The sequence below is a fragment of the Homo sapiens genome, chromosome 7 (genome assembly GCF_000001405.40).
Source record: "Homo sapiens chromosome 7, GRCh38.p14 Primary Assembly".
Lineage (NCBI taxonomy): Eukaryota > Metazoa > Chordata > Mammalia > Primates > Hominidae > Homo > Homo sapiens.
Genome location: NC_000007.14, coordinates 41762335 through 41779590, shown reverse-complemented (window position 1 = coordinate 41779590; position 17256 = coordinate 41762335). Strand labels below are relative to the sequence as shown.

General features: G+C 40.7%; 1 long non-coding RNA gene across 1 annotated transcript in view; it reads right to left on the bottom strand.

The window, feature by feature from the left end:
* Window positions 1–212: 212 nt before the first annotated feature.
* Window positions 213–17256, bottom strand: part of INHBA-AS1 (INHBA antisense RNA 1) — an 85460-nt gene continuing 68416 nt past the window's right edge. Inside the window, exons 3-4 of the long non-coding RNA NR_027118.2 lie at window positions 6597–6695; window positions 213–2750 (exon numbers count right to left, since the gene is read on the bottom strand). This is a non-coding gene — a long non-coding RNA (INHBA antisense RNA 1). The remainder of the gene's footprint in view (window positions 2751–6596; window positions 6696–17256) is intronic.

Here is a 17256-nt window from a genome sequence, read left to right as displayed (position 1 = left end):
GATTTTTATCCACCTCTGAAAAAAATGTGAGATTTTTGGTCGTTTAGTAGCTTTTTCCCCAACATTTGTTTCTCCAGCTATAAAAATGAAGATATCACTTTCCATATTCCTCCCCCATAGAGACGTTGAAAGGGTTAAAGTATTCTGTAAAGCTTTGAGGGCCTCCTTAAAGAAGTTATGCAAAACAAAATTATAATCATCATTTTTTTTTGTTGGTTTTTATTATCTTTATTGTAAAACTGCCCCAGGGGAAGCATCACTTTTAGTGTGGTCACAGTCTGCTCAAACACTTAACCATCTCATTGTGACCCACCTGACTGGAAAGGCGCAGCAGATCCTTGGCCTCCACACACCCTTCTTCCCGCAATCCCTACTGTTTCAGAGGCTTTCCAGAGGCCAAGGCCGGAGCCTGGGGCTGGGACTAACTCATAAATAGGTTTATTTTTCATTTGGCACATACAATGTAATAAAAAATGAATTCCTTACTGGTATTTAAATATTGGTAAATTTCAGATAAAAATCTAGAATTCTGGCTTCCCTTCTGTAGAAGATCTGACATCCGTGGGCCTGCAGGTTGCACCTGCCACAGCAGGAATCAGCCAGTTCACTGGACGTGTGCTCACCCCTTGACTATACCCCATGTGGCCTTCATCCTCATGGCGGGTAACTGCCAGTCCTGAGAAAGATCCATCAGCTTCTTTCAGCTACATCTGTCTATTTTCCAGCCAAAACGCTGACTGGTCTACATTGAGCTGCCTATAATGGCTACACCAGTGAGTAGGGTGCTAGGGCTGGGCCAAGCAGAAAAGAGGTGGCAGGACTAGTTGAGTCGATGGAGACTGAGCCAGAGGGAGAAGGAAGGGATTTGACTTCAGAGTCTGAAGCCAAAGGCCAGGTTCAGGGAGTCAGGTATCAGGCTTCTCCCAGTGGGGAATGGGAGCCAAGAGCAAAAGTTCTGGAGCCAATTCCACCAGCCCTGAGGATCTGCCAGGGCATGCCCTTTAGTGACACTGTTTATTTCTATTAGATAATTCATATTTGTACATTATAAACATTGGAGAAATTACGTACATATGTGTCCTTGCATACATATGCACCTACGCCCAGATCTAAGCCCACCACCAGCAATTGCAACATAATAGTTGTGGTTTGGGGTGGGGGGGAGTATTTTCTGAAAGCTCTGGGCATTGGGCAATGTACAGCCAGGGTTGAGAACTACTGCTCTCAGTGAGCTGATCTTCCTCGTGACACCTTATCTCCATTCATTCATCTCAGTCTGACCTCATAAACTGAACATTCTTTAAATTATTCAGTTCCTTCTACACAAAAACCCAATCTTTGGAGGCTCCTGTCTTCCTCTTTCAGTTTCCTAACGTATGTCTGGGTGGATGATGGAGGCTTACTGTGTCTCAGATCCGGGTGGTTGGGTCCTCTGGATGACATCATTTGTCCTATTGGTCATTTGCAGCTCAAGCTGGTCCCTAGTGGAACATGATTTGGCCATCCTTGATGTGATTAGGGCCTGACAGCCTGCCTGGCTGACTTAGCCCCAGTCTGGCTCATGCAAGTGCCATGCACCTGTCAGAACCAATGTGACACTGTCCAGCTGTCCCCTCTGGCCCAGGATATCAACCTAGAGGAGTCTGCTATGCTGGATACCACCCCAACACAAGGGCCTTGAAGCAGTCCCACTGGCCTTTGAGTACCCCTCAGGGCCTATGCCAATCTGTCCATAACATGATAAATAATCTTGGCTCTCTGGGCACTACCATGTTGGATTGCTAGTTTACATTGATGGAGCCTTGACTGGTGGGTGTGGAGGCAGCCTTCAAGAGGGTCACCTCCTATAGTTTTATTAAATTGTAATGAATATACTCTGCCTTCTGTTTTCCCCAGAATCACTACCCCTCCCTCTGGTTGTCTGCCCCTGCCTTTTTCTCCGTTTCTTCTACCAGATATTGTGTGGCTAGAAGAGGCAAATTTACCTCTACTTCCCTTCTGCATCCATTGGGATTCCCATGTTGTATCTTGTCCCCTTGGCAGATGGGAACTTTGCAGATAAGGAGACCTAACTCAGGAAGAATTTATGATTGTCCTCATTACAAATTAACTTCCACAAATTCTTCTTTCACATGTTCTTGGCTATTCTTATCCACTTACTCTTCCAGTTGCAGAATCTAGAAGACTTACAATTCTGGAGTACAGTTCTTTCTGTTAGACCTGTTACCCTTTGAGGCAACAGGTAGTCACTTAGAGTGGCCCAATTCTGTAAGATAAACTCCACTGTGACAGTATTGGGGACATCTGTAAGAGCTCCTTGAATGTCATAGCTGCTATAAAAGAATCTCATATTTGGCTTAGAAGAAAAGGATATGATAGTCACCAGAGCTGTTCAAGATGTTCTGGCTTTCTGTCTTTCTGGATGGAAGAAATCACATCTTCACCTGCTGGGAATTAGCTGTGGTCATGAGACTTGCTTTGGCCAAGGAGATACAAAGGCTGATTCTGGCCAGCCATTAGGAGCCACTTTGAGCTTCACCATTGCCTTGGTGTACCCTTCCAATATCTTAGGCAATGTTCCAGGTGGAGGCTGCTCTACCAGCTGGGATCCTGGCTGGGATCCTGGATGGAGAACATCACTCAGCAGAACTCCGCATGACCCTCAGTAGACGGGTGGCATGAGTGAGAAATAAACCTTAGTCTTTTGAAGCTTCTGAGATTTGATATAGTTTGTTACAGCTGAGCCTATCCTGAATGAAGAGAAGAATAAGAAGCATGGCATTTGGTATTTGTGCATATGCAACCAGGAACAAGTACCACAGCCTTCACCCAACTCAATCCTTTTTTAAAAATTTACTGTCCCTCTTTTAAAATTATTTTATACATATTAAAAACAGATAAGTCCAAATTCACTCTTTTTTTTTTTTTTTTTTTGAGATAAGGTCTCACTCTGTTGCCCAGGCTGGAGTGCAGTGGTGCAAGCATGGCTTACTGCAGCCATGAACTCCTGGGCTCAAGTGGTTCTCCTACCTCAGGCTCCTAAGTAGCTGGGACTACAGGTGTGCACCACCGTGTCTGGCTAACTTTTTAAATTTTTAGTAGAGACAAGGTCTCCCTATATTACCCAGACTGGTCTGAAATTCCTGAGCTCAAGTGATCTTCCTGCCTCACACCTATAATCCCAGCACTTTGGGACGCCTCCCAAAGTGCTGGGATTATAGATGTGAGCTACTGTGCCCAGCCTTCAAAATCACTCTTAACAGAAAATTGAACTCTTTTGCATTGTTGATGGAAATGTCATTGGTACAGCCATTAAGGAAAACAGTATGGAGTTTCCTTCAAAAATTAAAAAATAGAACTACCATATGATCCAACCATCCTACTTCTGAATATATGTCCGAAGAAATGAAATCAGTATTTCAATTCATGTTCATTGCAGCATTATTCATAACAGCCAAGATATAGAAACAACCTAAGTGTCCATTTACAGATAAATGGATAAAGAAAACATGATATGTATATATATATATATGTGTGTATACATATGTATACATATGTATGCACATATATATACATATATACATATATATGCACATATATACATATATACATATATATGCACATATATACATACATATATACATATATATGCACATATATATACACACACACACACACACATATATATATGATGGAATATTATTCAACCATAAAAAGAAATAGCCTGCTATTGGTTGACATCACGGACAAACATGGAGAGCATGATACTGAGTGAAGTCAGTGAGACATGGAAAGACTGCATGATCTCACTCATATGTGGAAAAGACAGTAGAAATAGAGAGTAGAATGGTGGTTGCCAGGGGCTAGTGGTGAGGACAATGGAGAGGTGTTGGTCAACAGGTACAAAGTTTCAGTTATAAGATGAATAAGTTCTGGAAGTCTAATGGTGGCTATAATTAATAATACTGTATATTTAGCTGAAGTTTGAAAGATTTGAAGTGTCCTCAAGACACACGCACACACACACACAAAGGGTAACTGTGGGTGGTGATGGACATGTTAATTAACTTGATTGTGGTAATCATTACACTATACATAGGTATCGCAAATCATCATGTTATAACCTTGAATACATATGATTTTTAGTTGTTGGTTAAACATTTTAAAATAAAAAAAAAACCAAAATCACTCATCAATTGAAGAAATAGTCTAAAACAAGGACTGTGGAAAATGAACAACTGCCACAGAGAAAGCGATGCTCTGCGCCCTCCCCTCCTGCTCCGTGCTTGCCTCCACACTTCCTAAGAAACACGGAGCAAGGAGTGCTCCAGGCACAGACGCAGCTTCCCCTGGCCAGCACCCATCAAGATCCTGTCCAGCCTCTCGCCCTGCCCTCTCAGACCCTCTTGACCATTGTAGGGAAAAGCCTGAGGGAATCTTAGTCATTCTGTTTTTGGAATGTGGAATTGAGAGCTAGCTGATCCCAAGCACGCAGCCCTCTGCGCCTTCTCACTGGGGCCTCACGTTGTTTTCTAGCCAAACAGCGCACAGGGATTTTTAAGCCCCCCTCCTCTATCACAAAGCTTGCGATTCCTTTAAAGAACTGCAAAGCAAAGCATCTTTCCAGTTAAAAAGCCCAAACTGAAATGTGATGGCATCTAAATGTCTTTAACTATCCCCAATTATTAGCCCTTTTCATGCCAGGCACTCCTATCTGCCTCTATGCCTAGAAAGAAGCTGCCTGCTACTTCATCCCCAGGTTTCTTTTCTTTTTCTTTTTCTTTCTTTCTTTTTTTTTGAGTCAGAGTCTTGCTCTGTTGCCCAGGCTGGAGAGCAGTGGTGCGATCTCGGCTCACTGCAAGCTCCGCCTCCCGGGTTCATGCCATTCTCCTGCCTCAGCCTCCCAAGTAGCTGGGACTACAGGCACCTGCCACCACACCCGGCTAACTTTTTTGTATTTTTTAGTAGAGATGGGGTTTCACTGTGTTAGCCAGAATGGTCTTGATCTCCTGACCTCGTGATCCGCCCACCTCGGCCTCCCAACAGTTTTCTTATTTTTAAGGGATTTATCTTTTGGTCACTCTATATTATTAGATTGGTGCGAAAGTTATTGTGATTTTTGCCATTAAAAGTAATGTACTTTTGTACCAACCTAAAATAAATATTATTTATTTATTCCAAACTTACTTAAAAGAGGACTCAAGGAGGACAAGAAAGATGTGTTTGTATTTCAGATAAAAAAGGAAATATATGAGGCTGGGCACAGTGGCTTGTGCCTGTATTCCCAGCATGTTGGGAGTCTGAGGTGGGAGGATTACTTGAGCTTAGGAGTTTGAGACCAGCCTGGGCAATATAGGGAGACCTCATCTCTACAAAAAGTAAAAAAAAAAAAAAAAAAAAAAAATTTCTTTTAAACTCTTAAGCCCAGGGGTACATGTGCATGTTTGTTACATAGGTAAATGTGTGTCATGGAGGTTTGTTGTACAGATTATTTCATCACCGAGGTATTAAGTCTAGTACCCATTAATTATTTTTCTCATCCTCTCCCACCTCCCACCCCCAACTCTCCAATAGGCCCCAGTATGTGTTGTTCCCCTTTATCAGCCATGTGTTCTTATCATTCAGTTCCCACTTATAAGTGAGAACAAGCGGTAGTTGGTTTTCTCTTCCTGTGTTAGTTTGCTAAGGGTAACTTCTTCCAGCTCCATTCATGTCCCTGTAAAAGACAAGATCTTGTTCAAAAAGTACAAAAATTAGCTGGGTGTGGTCGCACGTGCCTGTAGTCCCAGCTACTCAGGAGGCTGAGGTGGGAGGATCACTTGAGTCCAGGAGCTCAGAGCTGCAGTGAGCCCTTATGGCGCCACTGCACTTTAGCCTGGGCCACAGAGCAAGACCTTGTCAAAAGTAAGGAAGAAAGGAAGGAAGGAGGGAAGGAAGGAATGAAGGAAGGAAGGAAGGGAATATATGAAAGGCTGAGCAAAGTAGCCCTCAGCCAGAATGAAAAAGTGACATGAATGTACACCATGAAATCTTTTCCTCTTGCTGGATGTGGGCCAAAACTTGATTTTCCTAAAAATGTCTTTAAAGTGTCATAGTAGCCATAGAATTAAATAAAATTAGTTCAGGAAAAGAACAACTATTTCTTATAGTGAGACTAAAGACAATTTCCCCAGGGCTCCTCATAGAAAGGAGACAGAATAAAAAAATGACAGTAGGCCGCGTGCAGTGGCTCATGCTGGCCTGTAATCCCAGCACTTTGGGAGGCCAAGGCAGGCGGATCACCTGAGGTCAGGATTTCGAGCCCAGCCTGGCCAACATGGTGAAACCCTGTCACTACTAAAAAAATACACAAAAATTAGCTGGGTGTAGTGGTGTGCACCTCTAATCCCAGCTACCCGGAAGGCTGAGGCAGGACAATTGCTTGAACCCAGGAGAAGGAGGTTGCAGTGAGCCAAGATCGTGCCACTGCACTCCAGCCTGGGTGACAGAGTGAGATTCCGTCTCAAAAAAAAAAAAAGACAGTATCCTTTTTCTATACATGTGACAGATTTCACAGAGTGGACACTTATATTTCTCTTAATATAGAATGATATCACCTGTGATTTCACTCTGGTAAAACACTGTGGATAGTATGCCTATCCAGGAACTCAACTCCCAAATCAGCTGGCTCGATGCAACAATGAAATTCGAAGTACCTGTAAGGGAGAGATTAGCCCTCCATGAATTCCTGTTTATGTGGCCAAGCTTCTGAAAGGCGTAGGGCAACAATGGATATGCAAGTATCCCTGTTAACTAAACATGAACTACAGATATATGTGGCTAGTGAAGTGCAGAGCCGTATGTTCTTCGTAGCCAGCCTGCTTCATACGAACAATACAATGGGATTGGGGTGAGGGGCAGTTCATGAAAGAAATCTAACTGACTGGTTAAAAACAAGCAAACAAAAAAAAAAACGAAGTCTTTCTTAGTGCTGGTGGTCACATAAGCTAGTATAATATTGTTGTTGGGCATTTTGTTAATAGATAGACATACGTCTTTGATTTTGCAATTCTATTTCTAGATTGTCACCTGAGGAATTATTTAAGAGTGTGTGCAAATATTAATGATAACGATATTTGTCCTAAAAGAATGAAAACACTGTAAATGTCCACCTCTAAATTGTGGTACCTGCATGTAATGGAATACGATTCCACTATTAAATATGATGTCTTAGATGAATACACATGGGCATGGTCAGTGTTCACTATACATTGCTAAGTTTTATATAAAACAGTTTACCAGAGAATACAAGTATAATAATAGTACTAGTGTGTTGTTATGCTTGTGCAATAGTTATTTTTAATATCATATTTTTTTCCTTCTACATATTGCTTTCCACAAAGCCTTTTGAGTCCCATTCCTTTTTTCTTTAACAGCATCAGATCCCATATATATCTAGTCCCTTTCAATTATCAAGTATTCTCCAGTTTAAATTTCCAATCTCAATCCAACTCCAATGTCATCACCTGCCCCCTGGGTGTCAGCTTGAGACATTTCGAAGGTGAAGGGAGGGCGTGCTTTGCTTCTTAAGGGGAGGAGACAAGAGAGAGCTTCTTTTTCCTTGATGATTTGGCCATGGTCACAGTCGTCTTCTTACTGGAGTCTTTGCTGCTCTGGCTAAAATACGCTGACAGCACTGCCCTCTACGGGGTGGGTATCCAAATGCAGACCCTTCCAGAGCCCCTAGCAGAGGCTCACTACGCCTGCCAACTGCACACTTCTCTGATGTGGTAGATCCACCCTTCCACTCCCTGTCAATTCCCACCATGCTCAATCACATGGGCTTTCCTCCTGGATCCCCTTCTAAGTGGGGCAAGATGAGCTCTACTCAGGTCCCTTTGGCGGTTTCCCTGTGAGCACACAGGAGGCACAGGCCTTCAGGACATGCCAGTGCCACTGTGCAGATGCAAGTGGCCCCACTGACATCCCCTCTTGGTACCCTGCTCTCTCTTTTATGTTCATTTCCTTTTCCAATTAGGCAGAGTCAGGCAAGCCAGTCCTCCACCTGAATAGACATCCAATTGGAGCACAGGCCAGTCATTCCTTGTTGCAAATACTCCCAAGCTGCTTCAGTAATTCTCTTGGGAGCTGCCTCACTTGACTTTGAAGAGGAAAGTGCATGACCACCTCACCAGCCAAAAAGACACACACAAAATTATTCTTACTGTAAATCTAAATAACTTACAAAGCCAACAATCTCAATACTTCTCCCTTCCTCTGCTTACACAGGCTCTGAAGGAAGGAGCATTGGGATGGTGCCTGGCCATGGGGGTGAGGATTCTGTCACCTCTCACTAAGTCTTGGGATAAGGAGTCTAGTCTCAGGGATTGACTATTTGTCTCATTAGGGGATCTTAGTGCTTTTTTTTTTTTTTTTTTTTTTTTTTTAATTTCAACATTGGAGCTTTAGGTAAATTTCAGGAAAAAAAATTGGAAAAAGTTTCAAATATCTTATAAATAGAAACATACCTATACACAGCCCCAGAAAGAGTTCTGAAGCTATACATCAAAGTGTTAACATTTCCATAGTAAAATATAAGTTTTATAATTTTTTGCCTCTTTGTGGCCTACATGTTTTAATTTTTCTATCCAAAACCTGTTTTGGTTTTATAATGAAGGGGATACACAAACATAATTAAAAAAAAAAAAAAAACTATTCATCCCGAAAGGTAAAAGGATAAATAAGTTGTAGTATATCTATCCAATCAAATACTACTAAGTAATAAAATGGAGCAAATTACTAATAGAAGCAACAACATAAATCAATCAAAATACATTATGCTGAGAAAAAAATCTGACACAAAGGAGTTCATCATTTGTATGACTTTATTTGTATGAGATTCTAGACCAGATAAAGCTCATCTGTAGTGATAAAAATCATATCAGTGATTGCATAGATGGGAGGGTCGGGAAGACTGACTGCAAGGGGGTCAAGGAAGCTTTCTGGAGTAATGGAAATGTTCATGTTTTTATTGTGGTTAATTGGGGTAGACACTTGTCTAAACTCATTAAATTGTATACTTAAAATTGAGTGCATTTTTAAAATTTTACTTTAAGTTCTGGGATACATGTGCAGAATGTGCAGGTTTGTCACATAGGTATACATGTGCCATGGTGGTTTGCTGCACCTATCAATCCATCACCAGGTTTTAAGCCCCACATGCATCAGGTATTTGTCCTAATGTTCTCCCTCCCCTTTCCCCCCATCCTCTGACAGGCCCCGGTGTGTGATGTTCCCCTCCCTGTGTCCATGTGCTCTCACTGTTTACCTCCCACTTATGAGTGAGAACATGCAGTGTTTGGTTTTCCGCTCCTGTGTTAGTTTGCTGAGAATGATGGCTTCCAGCTTCATCCATGTCCCTGCAAAGGACATGATCATTCTTTTTTATGGCTTCATAGTATTCCATGGTGTATATGTGCTACATTTTTTTTTATCCAGTCTATCATTGATGGACATTTGGGTTGGTTTCAAGTCTTTGCTATTGTAAATAGTGTTGCAATAAACATACGTGTGCATATGTCTTTATAGTAGAATGATTTATAATCCTTTGGGTATATACCCAGTAATGGGATTGCTGGGTCAAATGGTATGAGTGCATTTTATCATATGTAAATTACACTTCAGTAAAGTTGATGTTTAGAAAAAGTTTTGGTTTTGTTTTATTTTTGGGAAATCAGCGAGATTTCAGAGCTAAAACTATGAAACTCTTAGAAGAAAACATGGGATAAATCTTTATCATCTTAGCTTTGGCAATGTTTTCTTAGATATGACATCAAAAGCATAAGGAACAAAAGAAGGATAGATAAGTTGGATTTCATCTAAATTAAAAATTTTATGCATTGAAGGATACTATCAAGAGAGGGAAAAGACAATCCATTGAATGGAGGAAAATATTTGTGAATTTTATATATGATAGGGTCTATTATTCAGAATACGTAAAGAGCATTTACAAGTCAATATCAAAAAGTCAAACCAGCCAATTAAAAAGTGGTCAAAAAACTTGAAAAGACATTTTACCAAAGAAGTTATCCAAACGGCCAAAAAGCACATGAAAAGGCATTCAAAATTGTCAGTCATTAGGGAAATGCAAATCGAAACCACAATGAGCTACCATTTCACACACAGTAGGATGGCTGTATGAGTACAAAAAGGAAAAGAAGTATTGGGGAGGATGTAGAGAGACTGGAACTCTCATACGTTGCTGGTAGAAATGTAAAATGGCACAGCTGCTGTGGAAAAGCTTAGTGATTCCTCAAAAAGTTAAACATAAAATTACCACAAGACACACGCAATTTCTCTCCTGGGTATATGCACAAAAGAACTGAAAGCAGAAGTTCAAGTCAAAACTTGTACACAAATGTTCACAGCATATTATTTACAAAAGCCAAAAGGTGGAAACAATTCAAATGTTCATCAACAGATTAACAGAGACAAAATGTGATATATTCCTACAATGGAATATTATTCAGCCATAAAAAGTGAAGTTCCGATCCATGCTACAACATGAATGAAGCTTGCAGACACTATGCAAAATGAAAGAAGCCAGATACGAAAGGCCAAATATTGTGTGATTTCATTTATACGAAACATCTAGACTAGATAAATCCATAGAGACTTGATGCAGACTGGTGGTTGCCAAAGGCTGGGGGGCAGGGGAGTGACTACTTAATGCACAAGTTTTTTGGAGAGTTGATGAAAATGTTCTGGTGATAGTGGTAATGGCTGTACAACACTGTGAAGGTACTTAATGCCACCGAATTGTGCACTTTAAAAGGTTTGCATTAAAAGTGCACCTTGTGATTAAAATGGTAAATTTCAAGTTAGGTGTGTTTTATCACAACAAAAAAATAGTCAAATGTTACGGTGAAACTATCACATATGTTTCACCCCTCCTGTTATCATGTGAAAGAACTTCCTCAGCGTTATACTGCTGGCTTCCCAGGCTTGGTTCAGTCCCTTCCTGAGGAAGGTGTTTCTCAGGGCACTCTCCACCATGGACCTGCTCCTGCTCAGCACGCCCTGTGACTGGCTAAGTCAGCCTCATTCGGGGAGAAGTCTCAGCAAGACCATTTGTCCTATATCTAAACCATGTCACCCAGACTTGTTTTTATTAATAACAAAGCTAGCACATTGGTCTCATCTGGATTCTTCATCTGTCTGTCTACATTTCTGATGTGAAGTTGAAGTTGGGTGGGAAGAGGAATATTCTTCATTGAAATCTCCCCCTGACCACTCTTCCTTGGCACTCAAACCCCAGGAGACAGAGAGTTTTAAACTGTAATGCATGGCCACAATTAACCTCTAAACTGCTTAAAGTATGTGCAAGGAAACCCTCACCTGGGCCATTTTAAAAAGGATCAAGCCAGGAAAAAAAAAAAAAAAAAAAAGAACATCTATCTTTGAGCACTGAAACTTCCTGGAGTCCAAGCTAAACTTATAAAATGTGGTTTGTATAATCAAATACATCAGGCTACTCCAAGTGATTTATTAATTATAAACTAGTTAAAACTATGGAGACATTTAGAAACAAACATTTTAATCTCCTTATCATTCCATGTTTTTCTTCATTCCTCTCTCTATTTTCCTCCTTTACAATGTGTCACCCTTATTTGAAGAGTATGACTTCAGGGTGTTAATATAGGACTGTGAAGGCAAAATAGCATTTAGAAATGAGAAATAAGTTATCTGCTTTTCTGCAGAGAATTGCTAAAACAAAAAGAAAACAAACAAAAATAAGTTCTTCTTAATCAGTAAATATGGTATCACACTTCTAATGTTGAAAACTTATTGGAATTCACCAGTGTATTTCAAAACAAACCAAAAAACAAAAACAAAAAGAAAAAACACTCACATTTTATAAAACTATTGCCTGATTGGATGCTTTTAAAATTCTTAGTTTCACACCAAATGGCCTATAGAAAACTTGAAAAGAAATTGTATAAATAGTGTAAAGAAGAGTTAAAGAGTTCCCTTATCTTCATGGGAAGATAAGATTTGAAGAAAGAAAAGTATGATTGTCAATAAAATAAATGCCTTGAAACATCTGAAGAGCTTTTGCTGAGGGAATAATGTACTATAGTCTTTGTTTCTTGGGTCATCATTATTTAATTTCTCCTAGAAAAGCAATGGCTGCTTTACACTGAGAATCACTAAATATAAGAGTGAATTCTCAACAGTGGCTGGAGAGTTTGAGAACAGATGGTTGGTGTCAGAGGGACATCACATTCTGATGGCTTGGTGCAGGCTTGTTGAAGGCATGGATGAAGCAGATTGGTTGACTTCCTTTCTGTCCTCTAATTCTGTCAAGAATGTTACCAGCTGCTAAAGGGGTGCCCAGCGGGCTGAAAGAAGAGAGTAAGAAGGCAGCCTAACTGCCCCCAGAAAATTTTATTTTGTTTTCTTATATTAACAATTCTGGTTGCTATGACTATGTTCTTTACACCTGGGGATTTTTAGGACTCCTATCTGTAATCCACATGAGCTCTAATTTTATATTCTATAGTGAACTGTGCCCTCTTTCTAAGACAGGACTGTGATTCCACATTCTTGTTGTAGATACAATGTGTATGAAAGTGTTAGTAACAAATGGGCCATACACACTGATATCAATCGGATTCTTATGCCTCACATTAAGTATGACAAGCTGTGTCCCTAGACCTCACTGAAATAAAAGTGGAAAAACCCAAATTCATATGGTTAGGAAAGATATCATTTGTCCCTGTACAAGTTATTTTTTTTAAGAACCATAAAGTCTATCAAAATTAGTGATGACCATAGCCTTCTGTGCAGGAATTCCTCTTTTAGGTATGTATCCTGGAGAATAATCCATATGTTTATACAACAGGGTTTATTGAAGTATTATCTGTTACTCTGATGAATTGACAGCAAACTTAACAAAATGAAATGGTAATTTTTCTGTGGTATAGTCATCCCATAAAATATTACACAATAATGGCTGGGCGCGGTGGCTCACACCTGTAATCACAACACACTGGGAGACTGAGGTGGGTGGATCACCTGAGGTCAAGAGTTTGAGACCAGCCTGACCAATATCATGAAACACCATCTTTACTAAAAATATAAAAATTAGCTGGGCATGGTGGCGTGCACGTGTAGTCCCAGTTACTCAGGAGGCTAAGACAATTGCTTGAACCCAGGAGGCAGAGGTTGCAGTGAGCCGAGATCGCGCCACTGCACTCCAGCCTGGGTGACAGAGCGAGACTCCCTCTCAAAATAAACAAACAAACAAACAAAAATTACTCAATAATGATAAAGATGGAGGTAGAGCTACATATTTGGACATAAAAGATATATTAGATATATTGCTAAATGAAAAAGCAAGTTTCACAAAGACACGAAGAGCATGATTCCACTTGTGTAAAAAACAGAAAATAAAACCAAACTATATAGCAAGATTCAGACTTAAGAATGTTTGAAAACTCCCAATGTGCCCATCACTGTAACAATGACTTTATATATGCTATCTCATTGGAAACCCACAATTGCTTCTTAGAAAGTGAACTATTATTATCCACATTAGAGATGAAGAAAGTGAGGCACAGAGGTTAAGTAGTATACCTCCAAGGGGAATAATGTAAGTAAGTGAAAATACATAGAAAGAGTCCAAGATAGGGCTTAGTGCGGTGGTTCACACCTGTAATCCAAGCACTTTGGGAGGCTGAGGCGGGTGGATCATGAGGTCAGGAGTTCAAGACCAGCCTGGCCAAGATGGTGAAACCTCATCTGTACTAAAAATACAAAAAAATTAGCCAGACGCTGTGGCAGGTGCCTGTAATCCCAGCTACTCAGGAGGCTGAGGCAGGAGAATCGCTTGAATCCAGGGGGCTGAGGTTGCAGTGAGCCGAGATCGTACCAGTACACTCCAGCCTGGGTGACAGAGTGAGACTCCATCTCAAAAAAAAACCAAAAAAACAAAAAAACAAAAAAAAAAAACACTTTGGGAGGCCGAGATGGGCAGATCACCTGGTTGGGAGTTCGAGACTAACCTGACCAACATGGTGAAACCCTGTTTCTACTAAAAATACAAAAAATTAGCCGGGTGTGGTGGTGCATGCCTGTAATCCCAGCTACTCAGGAGGCCAAGGCAGGAGAATCGCTTGAACCCGGGAGGCGGAGGTTGCAGTGAGCTGAGATTGCGCCATTGCACTCCAGCCTGGGGAAAAAGAGCAAAAACTCCATCTAAAAAAAAAAAAGAAAGAAAAAGTCCAAGACAGGATATATTAGTACATTCTTGCACTGCTATAAAGAACTACCTGAGACTGGGTAATTTATAAAGAAAGTGGGTTTAATTGGATCATGGTTCTGCAGGCTCTCCAAGAAGCATGGCTGGGGGCCTCAGGAAACTTACAATCATGGCAGAAAGTGAAAGCAGGCACCTCATATGGCCAGAGCAGGAGGAAGAGAGAGAAGAGGGAGGTGCTATGCACTTTTGAACAACCAGATTTCATGAGAACTTGCTCACTATTATAAGAGCAGCAGAAGGGACCTCTGCCCCCATGATCCAATCACTTCCTACGAAACTCCTCTTCCAACATTGGGGATTACAGTTTGACATGAGATTTGGGTGAAGACACAAATCCAAACAATCTCATGTGTATACAGACAACTGATAATAGAATTTTCTTCCGGAGAGAGAATGGGATTGGATAGGATTCGGTGGTGGCTGTATTCTATATATGTATATGTATTGATGGCTTACACAACAAATATTTCTCACAGTTCTGGAGGCTGGGAGGTCCCAGATCAAGGTGCCAGCAGATTTGGTGTCTGGTGAAGACCCTCTTCCTGTCTTGTAGCTGTCTTCTTGCTATGTGCTCATTGGTCTTTCCTTGGTATATGTGTATGGGGAGAGAGATGGCTCTGATTTCTTCCTCTTCTAATAAGAACACTAATCTCAACATGGGGACTCCATCCTCAAGATCTCATCTAAACCTATTACCTCCAAAATGCCCTGCCTGCAAATATAATCAGTTACATTAGGGATTAGGCTTTCAACATGAATTTGAGGGGAGATAAACATTTTAGTCTACAAACTCACACACAATTTACTTTCTTTTAAAGTAAGAAGAAATAAAAATAGAAAGAAAACAAATAAAAAGAAAAATGACTATTGGCCAAGCAGGTAGCTCAAGCCTATAATCCCAGCACTTTGGGAGGCTGAATTGAGCTGGTTGCTTGAGCCCAGGAGTTCAAGACCAGCCTAGGCAACCTAGCAAGAACCGATCTCTACAAAACAAAACAAAACAAAACACTCACAAAAATTAGCTGAGCATGGTGTCACACTCTTGTGGTCCCAGCTACTCAGAAGGCTGAGGTAGAACGATTGCTTGAGCCCAGACAATGAAGGTTGCAGTGAGCCATGATCACACCACTGCACTCCAGCCTGGGTGACAGAGCAAAACTCCGTCTCAAAAAATAAATTTAAAAAAAAGTGACTATTCTTCTTTGTTTTAATTTTCCATTGACCTGAAAGTTTCCCTCTGATCCATGTCTATAATGCTCTCCTAAAGCTCTGCTAGAATCTTTTGGCCATATCTTTTGGCCAACTCTTGCTTCCTCTGGTCACACCAGCCTCAGCAATGGTGAAAAGTTAAGGATCCACTAACAGTCACGGGGATAGTACAAATATTACTCTGCTCCCCCAGGCTCTGACCAAAAGATGTGAGGAATTCAAAGACCAGGAATAAACTCATTGATCTGGTATTTTCAGGCCCCACTTTGCAGAGTCACTGAGACTCCCCTCAAGTCTACATCATTTCCCTGGCAGAGTCCTTGGTAGCCCACAGAAATGGTCCTTTACGGCTGTCTTACTTCCCTGCCTGAACTAAGCCATGTTATCTTGCATGCCATGACTTCGTTCAGCATTCACCTAGTGACTCTCGTTGGTTCCAAGTCTACAGATCATCAATGAAAGAATTCTCTCTGCTACCAGTGTTGACCTTTTAAATTTTCGTGGTGTATGCATGCAGGCTATTCAAAGGAAATTGTAGCACCTTCTCTTGCAATAGCCCTGCTCTGGAGCACATTGTGTCAAATTCTCTCCAGAAGAACCACAGGACATTTTAAAGAAACTAACTAAAGTGTTTCCTTTATGCTCACCTCTAACCAGGATCCAAATACAGCATCCACAAAACGAACCTAGAGATTATTCTACCCTGAGGTGTCTTCCCTGTCTACTTGGGCACTCTGCTCTCAAGTTAGGGGAAGACTTTGTCAACTTTATTTAGGAGTCTACATTTGAGTGTCCAAGAACCCCACCTTAATTTATTTTCATTAATTCTCCAAGAAGGCCTATCAGAGCCACATACAGAATTATCGCGATACACGACTTTGGATCCCAAGTTTCCAGAATTGGATGTGCCAATTAGGCTTCCCACTCTTCTTGGTTTCCTGATGCCTATACAACACTTTCCTAAGCATCAAGTTGAGAAAACAGGAAATGGTCTGGCATGTGTGTATTCCTTAATCTCTTGAAAGATTTTTAAAATTGGGATGCACTTTTTTAATTATACATTTAATCTTGACAGAGATAAAATTTAGAAAAACACATTTATGAATGTAAACCAAAAATAAAAACCTAAGTCCCCCAACCAACTGAATGCACTCCCTCTTGGCTAAAGGGACTGCAAACAAACCTGAAAAACTGCATTTCAGGCTGTGATGGGAAGGGAAGGGAGAATGAACACATCTTGTTATACCCCCTCCCTTTTGGAGTTTAGGCACAACTGACCAGCATTGACATTAAAATGGAGATCATAAGACTGACAGAATGGACTCTGTGGCAATAAGGTATCAAATTCCAACCTGACTGACATGACAGATAGCAGATTCTGAAGGAAATACTAATATTTTATCTCAAATATATTTCTTTGACATGTTTTGAAATGGCCCTGCAAAGCCAACTTTCATGAAGGAAATTTGTATCTGCAGAGAATCTCCATTAATGCAGCCAGGGCTTTCCTGGATTTAAGAGAGTCTAACACCTTTTAAGATTCAAACGGAAACATTTGCCATTATTTATTCTCTCTAAAGTTACTACCTGGAGGCTTCATCTACATAACTAAAACTTTGGCTTTCACAACCCCCTTATCTTAACTCAAACACTCCCTTTTACTGGCTTCAGCCTTTAGACAAAGCTTAACTCTTTCAATCAATCGCCAACCATAAAATGTTTGAATCCACCTATGACCTGTGTAT